Source organism: Homo sapiens, chromosome 12 (genome assembly GCF_000001405.40).
Source record: "Homo sapiens chromosome 12, GRCh38.p14 Primary Assembly".
Classification (NCBI taxonomy): Eukaryota; Metazoa; Chordata; class Mammalia; order Primates; family Hominidae; genus Homo; species Homo sapiens.
In genome coordinates, this window is record NC_000012.12 from 47659378 (window position 1) to 47680841 (window position 21464).

Below are 21464 nucleotides of genomic sequence, written 5' to 3' on the forward strand. Positions count from 1 at the left end.
TACATGACAGAACCAATAATTAGCTATGAAGACAAAGCTTTTAAATTATCAATAACAAAAAACTTAATTCCATCACGTGCTTTTTGCCAACGTCACCCTCTCTGTGCCCACTCTCCCTAGTCTGCTTTATGTGCTCCTTTTCCAATCTGTTAAATGTGGTTGTTAGTTCTGTTCCACTTACCCAGTCACCCTTTTCTCCTGATTCTATACTTCCAAGTAATCTCATCTAATCCTGAGACTTCACCTAAATGCTTTTTAATGTCCAAACCCAAATCACCATCCCTAATCTATTTCAATGACCAAAGGGATCACAAATCCAACAGATCCCAAATTGGACCTTTCTCTCAGCCACTCAACCAAACCTTCCAGTTCCACATATGGTGTCACCCGCTGTGGTTTATATTTTAGTGAATGAAAGCACTGCCCTAGGGGAAAAAAATCTGGGCATGACCATTAATGCTTCCTTCTGCTTCTCAACTTGCTTCCCAGCCCACACAGGATCACCAAATTGTACAAGTTAGGAAGCATTCACATTATGTTCCAGGGATGCCATTCACGCAGACCACAATGTAAAGGGTGCTCCTTGGAGTTAAGCCCTGAATGTGGGGGCCCTGAATCTACTGCCAAATCTTGCCCATTCTACTTCCCAAATATTTCTCCATTCTGGTCACTTCTCTCCATCCTCACGGCTAGTACTCTTGTTCAGGATACCATAATCTCTTGCCTTAGGTACCCCAAGTCCTCTGACAAGTTCCCCTGTCTCTAATGTCCCCAGGCAACTGTTCTTCCCATAGTAGCCAAAGTAAATTTTATAAAATACAAATTTCAGAATCACCCTCCTATATAAACTATCACTAGTTCCACAGTACCCTCAGGATGAAGTTCAAATGTCCTCTAGAATCTCAACCCTTCTGTCTTCACCAGCCTCATTTCTTACCACAATCCAGTTCCCACTCTGTGCTAAAAATTAAACTTAAGTTTTCTCAAACTTGTCTTGTCTTTTGCATCTGCTATTCCTGGTATTTCCCATGATCCCTTAGTATTACCTGTTTAGCATTTATTACGCTGTACCTCTTTATTTGTATCCCCACCATCCCATTCCACCTCCCACTTCGTTGTAAGTTTTGTGAGGAAAGAATCCATGTTTACTTTGTTCATTTTTGTATTTTCAGTGCCTAGCAGTGCCTGGCATTATATGTAGATTCAACAAATATTTGTTAAATTAATTAAATGAATGAATCAAACAAGTTTCATTAACATTAAATTTTTAATGTTTCTTTAAACATAACTCTGATAAAGGTCAAACATTAAGAAAGCATTGTAAAAAGGTAAAATGAGCCTTGGTACTGTGTTCAGAAATGCCTCCTGTTAACAGAGATAATGGATTTAGAGGTTGGAAGTAAAATTTTTTTCAAATGCGTTAGCACAAATTGTTAAAATGGTGAGGACTTGGATATGCCCCATCAATTTATTAAATTGAGTGTAACTAAAACCAGAGTCGGAGGCAGCCAATAAATGACGGGCATGGTGCTTCTGCCAACAATTCAAGAATAATTATGATGTAAATGTTGCTATCAAGTCAAAAGATACAATTAACAGTAAATAACTACATTTCCAGAAAGAAACCACTTGGGAAAATACTGCTTTTATACCTTTAAGGCAATAATATTACTATTATTAATAAAAATGACTGAGCACTATGTGACAGGCATTAATGTGCTAATACTTATAAGTATTAGCCTTTCTAAAAATCTTTGAGGTAGGCATTTACTAATATTCTATTTTATATGAGAGGAAACGGAAGCTTAGAGGTGCTAAGCAGTATGTCCAAATTCACAAGCTAGTTGAGTGCAATAGGTTGTATACGCAGGTTATTTGACCCAAAAATGACTTTATTAACCACTATGCTATTTTGCAATAAGGCAACAATATGACAGCCCCTAAAGACTGTTCTTTATTCTAATCACTTTTAGGAAATGTTGGTAATTGTAATAATAATAGTAACAGTAGCTTACTATACATCCAGCCCTGCTCCAAAAACAAAATGTGTGCATTCATTCAATCTCACTTATACCCATTCTACAGATTTCAAAAACAAAGAATAGAAAAGTAACTTGTCCAAGGCCCTAAAGCCAGATGGAGCCAGAATTCAAACTCAAGAAGTCTGAATCCAGAGCCTCTGGTCTTAAATCACTACATGAAAATGTCTCTGGGGAGAAATCAGGCTAACATCAGAAATTTTTTAAAATTCAAATTCTATAGTAAATCTTGTGATCTGTACTTCTTCAGTTAACAGTCTCTACACAGGTAACACAACATAAAAACTGCAGCTGGAAGTAGTTCAAATAGCTCTACATTAAGAGAAGACAGCACGTTCTGAACTGTTTTGGCCAATTTTTAGCTCTATAATCATGCAGAGAACATTAACCCTCTGAGCCTCCTTTTCTTATGTTAAGAATGACAATAACATTACCTGCCCTGACTACCTTGTAAGTTTCTTCAAAGGATCATACCGTAGTCCATTCGGGTTGCTATAATAAAATATCAAACTGGGTAGCTTACATTAATAAAAACAGAAATTTATTTCTTACAGTTCTGGAGGATGGGGAGTCCAAGATGAAGATGCCAGTAGATTCTGGTCTCTGGTGTCTGGTGAAGGCCCACCTTCTTGTTCGTAGATGGTGCCTTCTTATGTGTCCTTACATGGTGTAATTGGTGAACAAGCTCTCTGGGGCCTCTTTTACAAGGGCCTGCCCTCTTGACCCAATCACTTCCCAAAGGCCCCACCTCCGAAGACCATCGCCTTCAGGGTTAGGATTTCAACATATGAATTTGTGGGGGATATAAACATTCAGATCATAGCAGATAAAAAGCTAAATTCAATTGCCTGTTTATATATCATAATACATTTAGCAATAAACAAAGTTAATAAACTCTATCAAGTGTATTTTAAAGCATTCAAACTATCCAAATTACAAACATATCTCAATAATTTATACCACAATCTGAAGAAATTATCTTTGTAAATAAATTATGATTACTTCTCAAACAATTCATAAGAATAGTAATATGTATAATGGCAATAAAAATTAACCACAATATCGTATAAAATTGTAAACTGAACTGTCTTATTGATGCTGATAACAATTAAAGGATGGTGTCCTAATATTTTTTAACAACTTGATAGTCTCTAAAATTAACTGGTTTTACCAGTGCTTACACCATGCCCAAAAATTTGCTAGGCTGCTACTTTAAACATTTACTTAATATGATTCTTGCGTCAAATTCAATTAAATTTTATAAGTATCAGTTGAGCACCTAACTATGTGCAAACGTCTGTGCTAGGTACTATGCAGAGTACAGGGATGAGCAGAGTTCTAGCCCTACTTTCAAAAGTTTACAAACGCTACACTCACATCCAACAAATACATATGGGCTATATGCTAATTAGTACTTTAAACATTACTAATTTTTACATTTTTACACCTTGCATTAGATTATCTGTCCTTAACTGGTATGTAACATGGATATCTTAAGGGAAAAAACCCTATGGCATTAAAATGTAAGAATACTGTGATACTTCAATTAACCTAGTTTGAAAGTCTAGTTAAAAGTCTTCTTTCTTTCAACATAAATACTAAAAATACATACATACCCTGCAACTAAATAACTTCATGTTAGTGAATTGGCACAATAACATTTAAAAGTTTTATAAAGAAAGGATCTCACTATCTATTTAACTTCCTCTTTACAAAGGTAATTATTCATATGCTAATGAAGCAGCTTTGGCAAGTGGTTACAAAAACTCATGAAAATATAAAAATAATGTTACATTTATGGGTCACTGAAGAATGTATCTAAATTTAACATTTAAAATGACTCATAAAATAAAATGCTGATCCTTACAAATGTATCTCATTGTTTATATTTTTATTTTCAGAAAAACAGAGTTCACTTGAATACAATTCTCACTAGTTAAATCACAATTCACCTTATAGTTAATTAACTTATGTTCAAAGATAGTCCTTTCCTGCTATATAATTTCATTTTCTTAAAAAGCAAAACACTTTCAGTAGAAAAAATTTACATATGAAAGTCAAAAACAATTATTTCAGCAAAAATGGAAATCAACCACCGTATCTTTTCTTGAGTTCTTCGACAGAACTATCCTTCAATCCTGACTTGTCTATGTGATTAAATAATGCACGTGCAACTGAAAAAGAAAAAGAAATTCTCCATTTTAATCTCATTTTTTAAAAACCAAGCAAAATGTAAATTAAAAGGAGCAATCTATTTGTCAAAAACATTTTACATTTTAAAGCAATACATAGGTTTATAAATTCTAATTCAGATATTTAAAAAGCCAATCTGAGAACACAAAATTATATAGCAATCCAACAATGGTTCTTTCAGGAATATTTTGCTTTAGCAGTATAAAATTTGCCCTGCATTCTCAATGATATTAATCTTGCAGATTAAACTTAATTCATTCTGTACTACCTTAAAAATGTTTACCCTATCTGTGTAACAAGTGTATTTTTATTTACTTAATATTTTTATTTCAACTAAACTGTTTTTCAAACCTAAATCATTTTATTTTAAAAGAAAACTTTACATCACTACTGTAAATGAAAAACAGCAATGACACTGATGAAATCACACTTGATGGGACAGTTAAATATTTTTATATTACAAAATTAAAACTACTACATGTTAAAAATAAGATCATGGGCCAGGCGTGGTGGTTCACGCCTGTAATCCCAGCACTTTGGGAGGCCGAGGCAGGCGGATCATGAGGTCAGGAGATCGAGACCATCCTGGCTAACACGGTGAAACCCCGTCTCTACTAAAAATACAAAAAAATTAGCCGCGAGTGATGGCGGGCGCCTGTAGTCCCAGCTACTCAGGAGGCTGAGGCAGGAGAATGGCGTGAACCCAGGAGGCGGAGCTTGCAGTGAGCTGAGATCGAGCCACTGCACTCCAGCCTGGGCGACAGAGCGAGACTCCATCTCAAAAAATAAATAAATAAATAAATAAGATTATGAATCGCAAAAAAATCATATTTACTACCACTGATCGGTCGACACTCAACATTAGGAAAACACTGTTTATAGTTCATGCTTCTCAACATTAAAACTGGAGAACTAGCTAACAGTTATTAATGATAATGGCAATAATAAAATATAACAACAGCTAAGTATTTACTGAATACCTGGTTGCATGCCAGAACCATTCTAAGCGCTTTCCATGTTTAACTTAGCAGACAGTGGAAACCCCATCAAGACAGTACTATTGGTCAGCCAGTCTGAAGAGCCCACCTGCATTCTCGGATACCTTGAACTTATCACATTAGAGTAACAGTAAATTCATTCATTCAACACACTGACACTGAGGGGTTATTATGCGCTAGCACTGAGGCCCAGTGAACGAGGTAGACAAAGTTCCTGCTGTCATGGAGCTTTCATTCTATTAGAGAGGGAGATATAATAAACATACACATGAACCACTGTCAGCTAGTAATATATTACGAAGAGAAATAAAGCAGGGTAAGAAGAGAGAGGTTCATGGGGGGTCAGTGAAGAAAGACATCTTTGAAGTGGTGATAGGTGAAAACCAAATGAAGAAGCACACAAGTGAAGATATGTAGGAAGATATTCTACGTTGAGAGAACAGCCAAAGTCCTCGAGGCCAAAATAAGTTTGGCAGTTTGGTAATTTTTTTTTTTTTTTTTTGAGACAGAGTTTCACTCTTGTTGCCCAGGCTGGAGTGCAATGGTGCAATCTCGGCTCACTGCAACCTATGCCTCCTGGATTCAAGCGATTGATTCTCCTGCCTGAGCCTCCCAAGTAGCTGGGATTACAGGTGTCTGCCACCACGCCCAGCTAATTTTTTTCTTTCTTTTTTTTTTTTTGTATTTTTAGTAGAGACAGGGTTGCATCATGTTGGCCAGCCTGGTCTTGAGCTCTTGACTTCAGGTGATCCACCTGCCTCGGCCTCCCAAAGTGCTGCAATTACAGGCGTGAGCCACTGCACCCGCCTGACAGTTTGGTATATTAAAAGCTATATAAAACCACTATAATGGGGCAGAGTGGTTGAAAAAATAGTGGTAAAAGATGAGGTCAAAACAGTAATAAGAAACAGTAACATTTTTCAGGGATTTCAAGGAACATTTCTGGTTAACTAAAGCTAAAACCAAAACTTTTGGTTTAAACCCTCGCTATTAAAATATACATATATATATTTTAATATATATTTTTTTATTTTTATTTAACTATTTATTTGAGACAGAGTCTCACTCTGTTGCCTAGGTTGGAACGCAGTGCCACAATCATGGCTCACTGCAGCCTCAACCTTCCGTGCTGAAACGATTCTCCCACCTCAGCCCCCCTAGTAGCTGGGACTACAGATGCACGCCACTGCAACCAACTCATTTTTGTATTTTTTGTAAAGACGGGGTTTTTGCCATGTTGGCCAGCCTGGTCTCAAGCGATCCTCCTGCCTTAACCTCCCAAAGTGCTGGGATTACAGGCATGAGCCACCATGCCTGGCCTAAAAAATATATATATCTAAATTACATGTCCACTTCCCTAAGTGTAATTTCAAAAGTATCTTTCTTATTGATTTAAAATCATTCAACATCACTGCTAAAAAGATAAAGAAGAAATAAAAGAAGCCCATGTATGTTTAGTACAGGAGGTATCTGAAAATGGTACACTGAGTTTTGCTAATTATTAAAAAGAAAAAAAAAGACACACTGGTATGTGAATGACTTTTCTCTTTTTTCCTGAAATGAGTATAGCCCAAAACTCTGAGCAACTGAAGTTTCTGCATAGTGCAATTTTACTTTAATTAGGATTTCTCAAAACGGACTCTTTATGCCAAAAATTGTGATGTGGAAATAAAAAAGAAATACAATTCTTCAGGTTCATCACCTGCCACTCATTACTCCCTATTCTACAATCCAGCCATACCATTTTAAATTCTCTGGACTCAATTTGCTCTTTCCTGCCTCAGAACCACTACATGTATCATTCTTTCAGTCTAAAACTCTCTTGCCCAGCCTTTCCTCTGACTCTTGCACTTCTTTGAGAATTCAGCTAAAATCAAACTCAAGGAAATTACCTCTCTCAGAATGGATCAGACCTTTCCTGTACCTCGCCCAGTTACATGGTCCTGTGGCTTTGATCCTTTACATAGTAACAGTAGGAACTCCACCATTATACCATTTACTGCGTTTTCAAGTAGAAGAGCTCAGACTATGGAGTTGGACTGCCTGGGTTCGAATCCTAGGTCTGGCTTCCTAGCTATGTGACCTTAGCAAGTTTCTTAGCCTCTCTATACCTGTTTCCTCCTCTGTAAAAGGAGAGTGAAAACAGTACCTACACTTCATAATATTGTCAGGACTAACAAAACAATTTTAACTGTTCTTGTTATCCAATTTAATTAACTTAAATATAATTTAATATCATCCAATTTAAATATAAATATTTAATTAAATATAACCTTATACACAATAAGTAGTCAATAAATGTCAGCTATTATTTGTTGAATGAATACAGGAATGTACAAAAATAAACATGGGAAAACTTTCATAGAACTTACTCTTTTTCTCTGTTTCTGACATAAACATCACTGCCATATCAAACCTTTTTAGTTCAGAAAGTCTTTGTAAGATTTCAAAGATGAGTAATGGCTTTTCTTTCCTGAAATAATCCAAATATAGAAACAAATGATCAGTTAAAAGCAGCTCATTTATTAATAATTCTGTTTACTAACACAATACTTCTAATTATACATAAATGACATCATTTTTTCCCCTGGATACCTGTATTTTAAATGCCCAAATGAAGAGATTTATCAAGTCAACTGAAGAAATTACAATATTCTTAAATGAGAGCTTAGTACGGAAACTATTATTCTGTGAAAACACTGGTCATTTCCATACCCTACTTTTCTCTACAAAAAAATTAGAGTCCTTTTTCCTCCCTTTTAAACTTTTCCCTTTTTATTGTCTGTACTTGTCATTTCCTTGCAACTTCTCTAACAATGAAACTTACAAGAAAGCTAACTTTGCTATATGCTGCTAATTTGCTATATACATTCAAAGAGAATCAACTTCCCAAATCATTGGAAATAGCATAGCATCATAAGAGTACAGTAAATTCTCACTTAACATCATCAATAGGTTCAGGAAAACTGTGACTTTATGTAAAACGGCATACTGTATAAACAAACCAATTTTACCATAGGCCAATTGACATAAACAAGACTTATGTTCCTATGTCTTAATCATTTTAATTAAAATTGCAGTTTCCAAAAACCTATCAATAACATTAAGTGAGGACTTACTGTATAACTAAAAAAAACTTGACTTACTCAATGTAAAAGTCATGCAGAATTTTAACGATCTGGTTGAATACATCTGGATCCAGATTTTTCTGAAACAACTTAGGATACAAAGATGGTTCAATTTGCTTGAAAAAAAAATAAAAAGACAATTACTTGATGGCAACACTTACATATCACAAATTACACAACAATTGCTTGGGTAAAAATAGTAAAGAATAACTACTTTGGGAGGCCAAGGTGGGAGGATCACCTGAGGTTGGGAGTTCGAGACCAGTCTGACCAACATGGAGAAACCCCATCTCCACTAAAAATACAAAAAATTAGCCGGGCATGGTGGCACATCCCTGTAATCCCAGCTACTCGGAGACTGAGGCAGGAGAATTGCTTGAACCTGGGAGGCAGAGGTTGCGGTGAGCTGAGATTGCGTCATTGCACTCCAGCCTGGGCAACAAGAGCAAAACTCCGTCCAAAACAAAAAGAAAAGAATAACTACTATGCATTAGCACTTATGAATAATAATGGAGTCACATTAAAATGCAATTATGATAGAAGAATGAAAGTTACAGGAACTGCATGATAATCACTCTATTCTAGTCACAGAAAAATCTTATGAGCAGAAGAGATATACACCATCCTAAGAGAGACAGGAAACTTTAAAGGCTCTCAAAGAGCAATAAATATAACTAGAGATTTTTAAAAGTAGAATTACATGAGAAAACGTATTTGGAAGTAATTTTATATTGCATAATTATTAGGAAATGTTACTCTCATTACACTTGAAAAGGACCATGCTAATTCATTATTTGCTAAATTTCATGGGATTTGATTCTTTTTCTTAAAGCAAATATTAGAAGAATGATTGCCTACATATTGCAAGCACTGCTTGGCACACAGAAGACACTCAATGTATTTTAGGGTTTTTTTTGAAGGATTAAGCTTAAGCTAATATATATGAAATTAGATTACGTTATTTGAGACAATAGAATTTGACATAGAATCTATTGCCAAAGGAGAACATCAAGGTTCCCTGGTTGTAAATATTTTTAAATGGTCTGACCAGGGTGATGTATTCTACAATAATTTCTACAATAATATCCTATAAAAAGCAAATACGGCACCATTATTATAAAGTGACAGAAGTTCTCTGACCTTTTACTTACAACAGAAGTACTACCTTCCTCTCTCTTACCTTTAAATACTGATACAACATATCTGGAGAACTTTTCAATTGTCTGAAATCAGATTCGAGCTGGAACGAGTTTGCAGGAATTGGAGGAAGAACAGTTGTGGCAAACTGAGCAGGTTTTTGTTCTATCTCTATGGGCATTTTCTCGCTGTAAGACTGACATACATCCTGCTTCAAACTGGCTTGAGGTCTGAAATATTTCAGAGGTATCAAACAGAAAAGAACCATAAATAATCATAGCTCAATCAAGGAGACATCAATAAAAATTTTTAAATTTTTGACTATTAATATTGTATTATCTATTTGTATTATACAAGCATTCAATTATTTCAGCTAATAATATATAAACATTTTTTGGCAAAACAGATTATGCTCTTGCAAATTTTCACATGCTGGCTATGTAATGACTATTCTCCTCTGCTGGGCAGCTAACCTATCCACCTTTTGAGTATACCATTTCTATATATTTCAATTACCATGTCACATACACTAATGATTTAGCCTTTCAAAGATCTAAATGATCATTTTCAAGATATTCCAAAAAGGAAGAAATGCTTCTTCCAAAAAAAACTGCCTATATAGTATTGTCCCATGATCTATACTATCACTTTAAATAAAAGTACTACTAAAGTTCAAAGTTTAAAAGAAAAAAACAACTTTTAGCAGGTTTGTTGAGTGGCAATGTAAAAATATATGAGTAAGGTTTCCATACCTCAAAATGAACCTAATTAGTCTATATCTTCTATATTCTCATTATCAAGAAAAAACACATAAACTATTTTTTAAATGCCAAACAAAAGTTAGAGTCCACAACAGTCTTAAATACTAATGGATGAAATAATGGCAATCCATAAATTCTACATTTTTATGAAGCTTCCTTTTAAAAAACTAAAATTTTGCTGAACTAAATAATAAAACTGAAATCCTAGAAATGAAAATTTTTAAACAAAATCAATTTTCAAGATACCTTCTTATCTTTAAATTTCACACTGTGGTTAAAAAAAAAATAGTAATCATTCTTTAAGCAAAATCACCCTTACAATAAGTACAAACAAAAAAGAAAAGCTAGAAACTTAAGTTAGGCAGTTCAAAAAATTAGCATGATGAGTACAAATCAGAAGTCTCAGTAATATCAATTCTCCATTGGAATTAACCCATTCTGGATGATCAGCAAATAACAGTATTTCTACTCACTGCAGGGATGAAGTATCACTGACTTCTTCTATTTTCAATACTTTTGCTCTTGGAGTATCACTTGTGGGAAAAAGGTCATCTTGGCTTGAATTCTTCTTACTTGTGGTGCCTGTGGCTGCTATTACATTTGCTAGATTAATAGGATTATTCTCTGGAGCAGCAGCAGTAGTGCTATCTGGCACATCAATAGTCTGTATCAAATTACCAGTTTCTTCAATAATAACCTTCTTGAGTGGTTTCTAAAACAATTAAAATCAATTCCTTAAATCAAAATATTAAAGGTTTCCTATTTTAGGGTCACAAGTTAAAAGGCTGCAATGATCTTACAGCTAATATCCCAGTGATTAGTAAATTCAATTTGGTGGCTAGACAGACTTAGAAGTCTGAGAATACAAAAATAAAAAGCTATACAAAGCACTTATCCCAGGTAGGTCGAAACAAGGGAGAGAGACATGTATACGTAAATATATAAGGCCATGGTCATGTTTAAGAGATGAAAGCACAAAACGCTAAGAGAACACAGGAAGGAAGATAAACACTGGCATGAGGGAAGCCTTCACAGAAAAAGCACACAGGAATGGCAAAGTTGAAGGGTGCAGCACAGTCAGTGGAAAGGTGAGAAGTCCAGTGGGGCTGGTGCACGGCACGGCATGGTGGAGATGAAGCCTCAAAGGCAGTTTGAAGACAGCTTATGAAGGGACTTGGATGCCATGAAAGGAGTCTGGACTCTATTCTAGGGGCAATACAGCAAAGAAATTACCAAACCAACAGCAGTATTGTGGACTAACTGAAGGCAAGTGGAATAAGGGCAGACAATAACCAGCATTATGTATGGGATAGACTATCATTAAAACCTAAACACATTGTCTCAATATATAGCAGCTGGATAAAACTAGCCCAGGATTAAAAATCTGCCAAGTAATATTCACAAAGTTGGTAAAAGTAAACCCTTTTTTCCAATTTAATAAAATAAATGGCTTTCATTGTTTATCTCAATCACTACACACGTGTCATTTTCAACTTATGTTGATATTTAATAATATATGTATATCTAATAAAATATAACAATATTCTTCACTATATCATCATACCAAACACACAGAAATACACTGAGGAGCTATTGTTACACCAAGGGCATTGAAAAATGAAACAAGTTAAGAAAAGCTTCTTCTAAAATTTGCAAATATTGATTAACAGTTGCAGCTATATACTTTTGTATATGTTTGAAATTTGTTTTAGCTTTAGAAAAGAGAAGAAAACTTTCCTCAATGTACTCTAAGTATACATTCCAACTACATAGTTGAATTATAAATTGAAAAGTTGTAAATATAAGCACTTCTTCTTCTGCAATAGATAACAAACTCAATGTTAAAACCAGAAATTCCATTAATGCAGCTAAGATATGACCCCAATGGTAATAAATGAGTGTTACTAAACGAAGGTACAAAAATGAAAAAGCTGTAAGAAAATTTATAACAGAATTCTTCAAGCAGTTCTATTTTAAAGAATAATCATATTAAGTTAAGGCCTATGCTTTGCTAAGAACTGTATCAGCAAAAGTTTTTATGAAGATACTGATCAAGAATGGATATGTGTATTAAACCCTATCCTTGACAACAGATATGTAAATAATGATTTGAATTTATGAATTTCCTAATCATTGGTCTCTGTTAAGTGTAGACCCGGGGTACTGAGAGCCACTGAGGGTCACTGATGACAGCTGGAAGGACTGTGGGGAAGAACAGTATGCTAGTAACAGGAGTAAACCATAAAAGAAACCACTATAGAAAGAACTTAAGAAAATATGAAAGGTTCAATTCACTCCTTTTTTAAAATCATGACTCGGAAGCGTAACATTTTATTTAGTTGTATATTGTGACCATTTAAAAAAAAAGTGAGAGAGAGAGAGAAGAACAAAGGAATAAAGAGAAAAAGGGACCAAACAGGTGAAGTTTTGACATCAGGAAACAGACAAATGAAGAAAAAAAAAGGAAATAAAGCAAAATAAGATATTTTAGCAGAGACAAAAGGATCAGGAAAACTTTCACTTATTACCACTCTCAGGGGAAACCCCAGGCCCAAGTTCACCTACATCTCTGCTCTCCTACCCTCTGTCTAGAGGTTTGCTAAAAATACCTCCAAGCTGCCAGCCCTTCAAGCACAGACTACCCTGCCCTAGCCTTTCATTTCAATAATCCTGAGACTCATTCTCTTCTCTACTTTCCGTAGTCTTCCTTTCTTTCCTTACCACTTTCTCTGGTGACCAGGTGGTGTCACAAATACGTGACTAAAAAGGAAACTAAAATTTGTTTCACCTGAAATTGCCTCAGCATTTATGCACATTATTTCCTTTGATATAAACTAATCTGTGAGTTATTCTCAATTTACGGAGAAAAAGTAAGGATAACGCAGGGATTAACTAACTTGCTCAAGATTGCAAAGTTTATCAAGTGGGGCTCAAATCCAGTCTCAAAGGCATTATACCAAACTGCTATCCTCTACTTTTTAAAAATAATGCCGACATTTTTTTTTATCATGAAGATCCATTATAAAAATCAACAGCAATTTTTTTCCCTTCCCACTAGGATACTAACTTTGTTGATTTTGGATCATTTACAGAACAGTTTACCCCAAGATTTCTCATTTCCTAGAGGTGTTTTGTTTTGTCATATTGCCATAGAGATTTAAATTCACATTGTATTTTCACAACTATTAACATAAATTCATTTTTAACAAGAAGGTGGGCCCAACATATTTGTAAAAGCTACTTATGGTATATTAGTCATGGGATATTACACATATCACGTGGCAATGTCTTTATAATTATGGACAGTGACGTCTAACAAAGGCCTTCTGTAAACTTGTGAATTAATTTTTGTAAAGAAGTCTTACAAAGATGTAAAAGTTTAAACTACATTTAATTAAATAATCACTTTTACTGAAAAGAACAGTAAATAAATATATGAAAATGACCATAATGTGTGAAAACAACTAGATTTATGCCTAGCACACACAACACACACAACCAGTATTACCAAGAATACGGTCGTAATAGGCCAGGCATGGTGGCTCATGCCTGTAATCCTAGCACTTTGGGAGGCCAAGGTGGGCAGATCACTTGAGGTCAGGAGTTCGAGACCAGTCTGGCCAACATGGTGAAACCCTGTCTCTACTAAAAATACAAAAATTAGCCAGGCATGATGGCAGGTGCCTGTAATCCCAGCTACCAGGGAGGCTGAGGCAGGAGAATCACTTGAACCCAGAAGTCAGAGGTTGCAGTGAGCTGAGATCGCGCCACTGCACTCCAGCCTGGGGGACAAAGAGTGAAACTCCGTCTCAAAAAAAAAAAAAAAAAAAAAAAAAAGAATACAGTCATATTAAATGCACTGGAAAAGTATTAAACTAAGAAATCTATTTGCTACTACTAACTAGTACAAACATAGCAAAACAAACTTTCCTTTTCTGCCTTTATAAAAAGAGGATAAAAATACCTCCTCTGACTTCCTTATGAAATTGTTATTTCTAATGAAGAAAACTGTTATGCAAAGGATCGTCTATGCATAACAGTTTAAGAGGGCAGGAAGAGGATCTTGATCAGTCAGGGGTACATAGAGAGGTTTTTTAGGGGTGATGTCTTAATTTTCTGACTCGGTGATTTCATGGGTGTTCACTTTGTAATTATTCTCTAAATTATAATTTGTCTTGCGTACTTTTCTGTATGTATATTTCATAATTTACTTGATGCAAGGGTGTTTATCCCAACTTCAGAAAAGAACAGTAATAAAAATACAAAGACATTTAATTTCTATAAAATGTAAAACTGCTTGAAATTCCTTTAATATAAGAGAAATAGGCAGAAATATTTAAATTGATAGTGTTAAATTAAAATACTCACTTAAAAAGTTATCCCAAAACTCTAAACGCTGCTAAATTTCCCTTATACATCAGTAATCCTAGGAAGTATTTTTTAAAGATTCTAAAAAAAAAAAAAAAAAAAAAGTGCCCCAGTAAGACATTTCAACATTTCCTTTACGAGTTAGGGGGCGTTCCAAGATGGCCGAATAGGCACAGCTCCAATCTGCAGCTCCCAGCGTGATCAACGCAGAAGAAGGGTGATTTCTACATTTCCAACTGAGGTCACCAACATCAAAGACCAAAGGGAGATTAAACCACAAAGATGGGGAGAAACCAGAGCAAAAAAGATGAAAATTCTAAAAATCAGAGCACCTATTCTCTTCCAAAGGAACACAGCTCCTCACCAGCAATGGAACTAAGCTGGACGGAGAATGACTTTGACAAGTTGACAGAAGTAGGCTTCAGAAGGTCCGTAATACAAACTTCTCCAAGCTAAAGGAGGATGTTCGAACTCATCATAAGGAAACTAAAAACCTTGAAAAAAGATTAGACGAATGACTAACTACAATAAACAGTGCAGAGAAGACCTTAAATGACTGATGGAACTGAAAACCATGGCATGAGAACTTCGTGATGCATGCACAAGCTTCAGTAGCTGATTCGATAAAGTGGAAGAAAGGGTATCAGTGATTGAAGATCAAATTAATGAAATAAAGCGACAAGACAAGGTTAGAGAAAAAAGAGTAAAAGAAACAAACAAAGCCTCCAAGAAATATGGGACTATGTGAAAAGAGCAAATTTACGATTGATTGGTGTACCTGAAAGTGATGGGGAGAATGGAACCACATTGGAAAACACACTTCAGGATATTATCCAGGAGAACTTCCCCAACCTAGCAAGGCAGGCCAACATTCAAATTCACAAAATACAGAGAATGCCACAAAGATACTCCTCGAGAAGAGCAACCCCAAGACACAAAATTGTCAGATTTACCAAGGTTGAAATGAAGGAAAAAGTGTTAAGGGCAGTCAGAGAGAAAGGTCGAGTTATCCACAGAGGAAAGCCCATCAGACTAACAGCAGATCTCTCAGCAGAAACCCTACAAGCCAGAAGACAGTAGGGGCCAATGTTCAACATTCTTAATGAAAAGAATTTTCAACCCAGAATTTCATATCTAGCCAAACTAAGCTTCCTAAGTGAAGGAGAAATAAAATCCTTTACAGACAAGCAAATGCTGACAGATTGTGTCACCACCCGGCTTGCCTTACAAGAGCTTCTGAAGGAAGCACTAAACATGGAAAGAAACAACCAGTACCAGCCACTGCAAAAACAGGCCAAATTGTAAAGACCATTGATGCTAGGAAGAAACTGCATCAATTAACAGTCAAAATAACCAGCGAACATCATAATGACAGGATCAAATTCACACATAACAATATTACCCTTAAATGTAAATGGGCTAAATGCCCCAATTAAAACACAAAGACTGCAAATTGGATAGAGTAAAGACCCATCAGTGTGCTGCATTCAGGAGACCCATCTCACGTGCAAAGACGCACATAGGCTCAAAATAAAGGCATGGAGGAAGATCTAACAAGCAAATGGAAAGCAAAAAAAAGCAGGGGTTGCAATCCCAGTCTCTGATAAAACAGATGTTAAACCAACAAAGATCAAAAGAGACAAAGAAAGCCACTACCTAATGGTAAAGGGATCAATTCAACAAGAAGATCTAACTATCCTAAATATATATGCACCCAATACAGGAGCACTCAGATTCATAAAGCAAGTCCTTAGAGACCTACAAAGAGACTTAGACTCCCAAACAATAATAATGGGAGACTTTAACACCCCACTGTCAATATTGGACAGATCAACGAGACAGAAGGTTAACAAGGATATCCAGGACCTGAACTCAGCTCTGCAACAAGCAGACCTAATAGACATCTACAGAACTCTCCACCCTAAATCAACAGAATATACATTCTTCTCAGCACCACATCACACTTATTCCAAAATTGACCACACAATTGGAAGTAAAGCACTCCTCAGCAAATGTGAAAGAACAGAAATCACAACAAACTGTCTCTCAGACCACAGTGCAATCAAATTAGAACTCAGGATTAAGAAACTCACTCAAAACTGCACAACTGCATGGAAATTGAACAACTTGCTCCTGAATGACTACTGGGTAACTAACGAAATGAAGGCAGAAATAAAGATGTTCTTGGAAACCAATGAGAACAAAGACACAACGTACCAGAATCTCTGGGACACATTTAAAGCAGTGTGTAGAAGGAAATTTATAACACTAAATGCCCACAAGAGAAACCAGGAAAAGATCTAAAATTGACACCCTAACATCACAATTAAAAGAACTAGAGAAGCAAGAGCAAACAAATTCAAAACCTAGCAGAAGGCAAGAAGTAACTATGATCAGAGCAGAACTGAAAGTGATAGACACAAAAAAAACCCTTCAAAACATCAATGAATCCAGGAGCTGGTTTTTTGAAAAGATCATCAAAATTGATAGACCACTAGCAAGACTAATAAAGAAGAAAAGAGAGAAGAATCAAATATACACAATACAAAATGATAAAGGGGATATCACCACTGATCCCACAGAAATACAAACTACCGTCAGAGAATACTACAAACACCTCTACGCAAATAAACTAGAAAATGTAGGAGGAATGGATAAATTCCTGGACACATACACCCTCCCAAGACAACCAGGAAGAAGTTCAATCTCTGAATAGACCAATAACAGGCTCTGAAATTCAGGCAATAATAGCCTACCAACCAAAACAAGTCCAGGACCAGACGGATTCACAGCTGAATTCTACCAGAGGTACAAAGAGGAGCTGGTACCATTCCTCCTGAAACTATTCCAATCAATAGAAAAAGAGGGAATCCTCCCTAACTCATTTTATGAGGCCAGCAACATCCTGATACCAAAGCCTGGCAAAGACACAACAAAAAAAAGAGAATTTTAGACCAATATCCCTGATGAACATCAATGTGAAAATCCTCAATAAAATACTGGCAAACCGAATCCAGTAGCACACCAAAAACCTTATCCACCACGATCAAGCTGGCTTCATCCCAGGGAAGAAAGGCTGCTTCAATATATGCAAATCAATAAACGTAATCCATCACATAAACAGAACCAACGACAAAAACCACATGGTTATCCCAATAGATGCAGAAAAGGCCTTTGACAAAATTCAACAGTGCTTCATGCTAAAAACACTCAATAAACTAGGTATTGATGGAATGTTTCTCAAAATAATAAGAGCTATTTATGACAAACCCACAGCCAATATCATACTGAATGGGCAAAAACTGGAAGCATTCCCTTTGAAAACCAGCACAAGACAAGGATGCCCTCTCTCACCACTCCTATTCAACACAATGTCGGAAGTTCTGGCCAGGGCAATCAGGCAAGAGAAAGAAATAAAGGGTATTCAATTAGGAAACGAGGAAGTCAAATTGTTGTGTTTGCAGATGACATGATTGTATATTTAGAAAACCCCATCGTCTCAGCCCAAAATCTCCTTAAGCTGATAGGCAACTTCAGCAAAGTCTCAGGATACAAAATCAATGTGCAAAAATCACAAGCATTCCTATACACCATTAACAGACAAGCAGAGAGACAAATCATGAGTGAACTCCCATTTACAATTGCTACAAAGAGAATAATACAATTGCTACAAAGAGAATAAAATACCTAGGAATCCAATTCTCTTCAAGGAGAACTACAAACCACTGCTCAACGAAATAAAAGAGGACACAAACAAATGGAAGAATATTCCATGCTCATGGATAGGAAGAATCAATATTGTGAAAATGGCCATACTGCCCAAAGTAATTTATAGAATTCAATGCCATCCCCATCAAGCTACCAATAACTTTCTTCACAGAATTGGAAAAAAACTACTTTAAAGTTCATATGGAACCAAAAAAGAGCCCACATTGCCAAGACAATCCTAAGGAATAAGAACAAAGCTGGAGGCATCAGGCTACCTGACCTCAAACTATACTAGAAGACTACAATAACCGAAACAGCATGGTACTGGTACCAAAACAGAGATATAGACCAATGGAACAGAACAGAGGCCTCAGAAATAACACCACACATCTAAAACCATCTGATCTTTGACAAACCTGACAAAAACAAGAAATGGGAAAAGGATTCCCTATTTAATAAATGGTGCTGGGAAAACTGGCTAGCCATATGTAGAAAGCTGAAACTGGATCCCTTCCTTACACCTTATACAAAAATTAATTCAAGATGGATTAAAGACTTAAATGTTAGACCTAAAACCATAAAAACCCTACAAGAAAACCTAGGAAATACCATTCAGGCCACAGGCATAGGCAAGGACTTCATGACTAAAACAACAAAAGCAATGGCAATGAAAGCCATAATAGACAAATGGGATCTAATTAAACTAAAGAGCTTCTGCATGGCAAAAGAAAGTACCATCAGAGTGAACAGGCAACCTACAGAATGGGAGAAAATTTTTGCAATCTACCCTCTGACAAAGGGCTAATATCCAGAATCTACAAAGAACTCAAACAAATTTACAAGAAAAAAACAAACAACCCCATCAAAAAGTGGGCAAAGGATATGAACAGACACTTCTCAAAAGAAGACATTTATGCAGCCAACAGACACATGAAAAAATGCTCATCATCACTGGCCATCAGAGAAATGCAAATCAAAACCACAATGAGATACCATCTCATGCCAGTTAGAATGGCAATCATTAAAAAGTCAGGAAACAACAGATGCTGGAGAGGATGTGGAGAAATAGGAACGCTTTTACACTGTTCCTGGGAGTGTAAACTGGTTCAACCATTGTGGAAGACAGTGTGGCGATTCCTCAAGGATCTAGAACTAGAATTACCATTTGACCCAGCAATCCCATTACTGGGTATATATCCAAAGGATTATAAATCATGCTACTATAAAGACACATGCACACGTATGTTTACTGAGGCACTATTCACAATAGCAAAGACTTGGAACCAACCCAAATATCCACCAATGATAGACTAGATTAAGAAAATGTGGCACATATACACCACGGAATACTATGCAGCCATAAAAAACGATGAGTTCATGCCCTTTGCAGGGACATGGATGAAGCTGGAAACCATCATTCTCAGCAAACTATCACAAGACAGAAAACCAAACACCGCATGTTCTCACTCATAGGTGGGAACTGAACAATGAGATCACCTGGACACAGGGCAGGGAACATCACACACTGGGACCTGTTGCGGGTGGTGGGTTGGGGGAGGGATAGCATTAGGAGAAATACCTAATGTAAATGATGAGTTGATGGGTGCAGCAAACCAACATGGCACATGTATACCTATGTATCAGATCTGCACGTTGTGCACATGTACCCTAGAACTTAAAGTATAATTAAAAAAAAAAAGTTTATTAATACAATAGTTGGTTTCCAATTCTCCTATTACAACATATTTAAATGGCAAGGAAAAAATGAAAGTGCTTTACTTACAGTTGATCCAGGATGCGGTGGATTATCAATGGGTTTTACCACATTTTGTCTTTGTGTGGAATCAAGAAAGACATCATCCCAGTGTCCTTTCTCAATTAATTCCTTGAAAATAAATTTATAACCCTAACTTTCAAAATATTTATTATACAACAAATAAATATATTTATGTTTCAGAAAATATGACCATGTTTGGGTGAAAAGAATACATTACCTTTTTAATTTTGGAGAGTTCAGTTACTGCTTGCTTATTTCCAGGTTCCAGAAGTAAAACAGTTTCAAAATCTAAAGCGAATTTTTTAAAAACATTACAACATAGTTAAAATGTGGAGTTTTCATATTCGCATGTATATTCATGATATATTCAGTTAGTAATCACATTTTTAGCTCAAGCAGTTTTACTCAGATTACTAGGAAACAGGTGAGCTATAGTAAGAACATTTACTGAACACTGTTGTAGTTGTTTTATATGAATGTTCACGTAACCCTCACTACAACCCCACTTTAAAGGTGATAAAACTGAGGCCCCTAGAGGTCATCTAACTTAGCAAAGTTCACCATGTAAACAAATGACAGAGTAACTCACTAAATGTAAAATATTAATAGAATAAGAGAATTACATACAACAAAGTATTACTCAGCCTTAAAAAGGAATGAAATTCTGATATATGCTCCAACATGGACATTATGCTAAGTTAAATAAGCAGAGGCAAAAGGACAAATACTGCATGATTCCACTTACATAGGATATCTAGAACAGTCAAATTCAGAGACAGAAAGTAGAATGGAGGTTACTAGGGCTGGGAGGAGAGGAGAATGGAGAGTTATTGTTTAATGTGTATAGAGTTTTAGAATGGGATGATGACAAAGTTCTGGTGATGGACAGTGGTGATGGCTGCACAATGTAAATGTATTTAATGCCACTGAGCTATATATTGAAAAATGGTTAAAATAATAAATTTAACGTTACATATTTTTTTTAACCACAATAAAAAAAACACTGCTGTAGCTAACAGGCTTATAGAGAAACTGCCAGATTTTAAATGCACATACCAGGAAAGAACAGAGGCTGAAAATCAATTATCTAAGTACTGATCTCAAGAAGCTAGAAAAACAGCAAATTAAACCAAAAGAAAGTTGAAGGAATAAAATAAAAAGCAGAAGGAAATTAAATAGAAAACACACACAGGAGAACCAAGTTGGTTCTCTGAAAAGACTAATTCAATGAATACCCTAAAAGAGAAGACCATAAAAACAAAGAAAAAAAATAGTATCAAGAATTAAAATGGTATCAGATCTCCATTATCCTCCATTCCCTACCTGCTGATAAAACCACAGCCCGAAGAGTTTTT

At 35.8% G+C, this 21464-nt stretch overlaps 1 protein-coding gene across 3 annotated transcripts in view, besides 1 other annotated feature; it reads right to left on the bottom strand.

Moving 5' to 3' along the window:
* Window positions 1–1871: 1871 nt before the first annotated feature.
* The window catches only part of RPAP3 (RNA polymerase II associated protein 3), a 44782-nt gene continuing 25189 nt past the window's right edge, over window positions 1872–21464 (bottom strand). For 2 of the 3 annotated variants that reach the window (NM_001146076.2, NM_024604.3), the window contains 7 exons: window positions 20327–20397; window positions 20116–20217; window positions 10730–10968; window positions 9539–9725; window positions 8377–8474; window positions 7603–7703; window positions 1872–4213 (listed from right to left, as the gene is read on the bottom strand). In NM_001146076.2, coding sequence (NP_001139548.1) covers window positions 4128–4213; window positions 7603–7703; window positions 8377–8474; window positions 9539–9725; window positions 10730–10968; window positions 20116–20217; window positions 20327–20397 — 884 coding nt within the window. In that variant the 3' untranslated portion in view covers window positions 1872–4127. The remainder of the gene's footprint in view (window positions 4214–7602; window positions 7704–8376; window positions 8475–9538; window positions 9726–10729; window positions 10969–20115; window positions 20218–20326; window positions 20398–21464) is intronic. The other variant, NM_001146075.2, reaches the window with a different exon arrangement.
* Window positions 12796–12945: an enhancer, noted in NCBI's record as "active region_6256". NCBI's record gives its function as "activates an Ori minimal core promoter by ATAC-STARR-seq in GM12878 lymphoblastoid cells {active_cell/tissue: GM12878}" and the evidence as "EXISTENCE:reporter gene assay evidence [ECO:0000049][PMID:35858748]".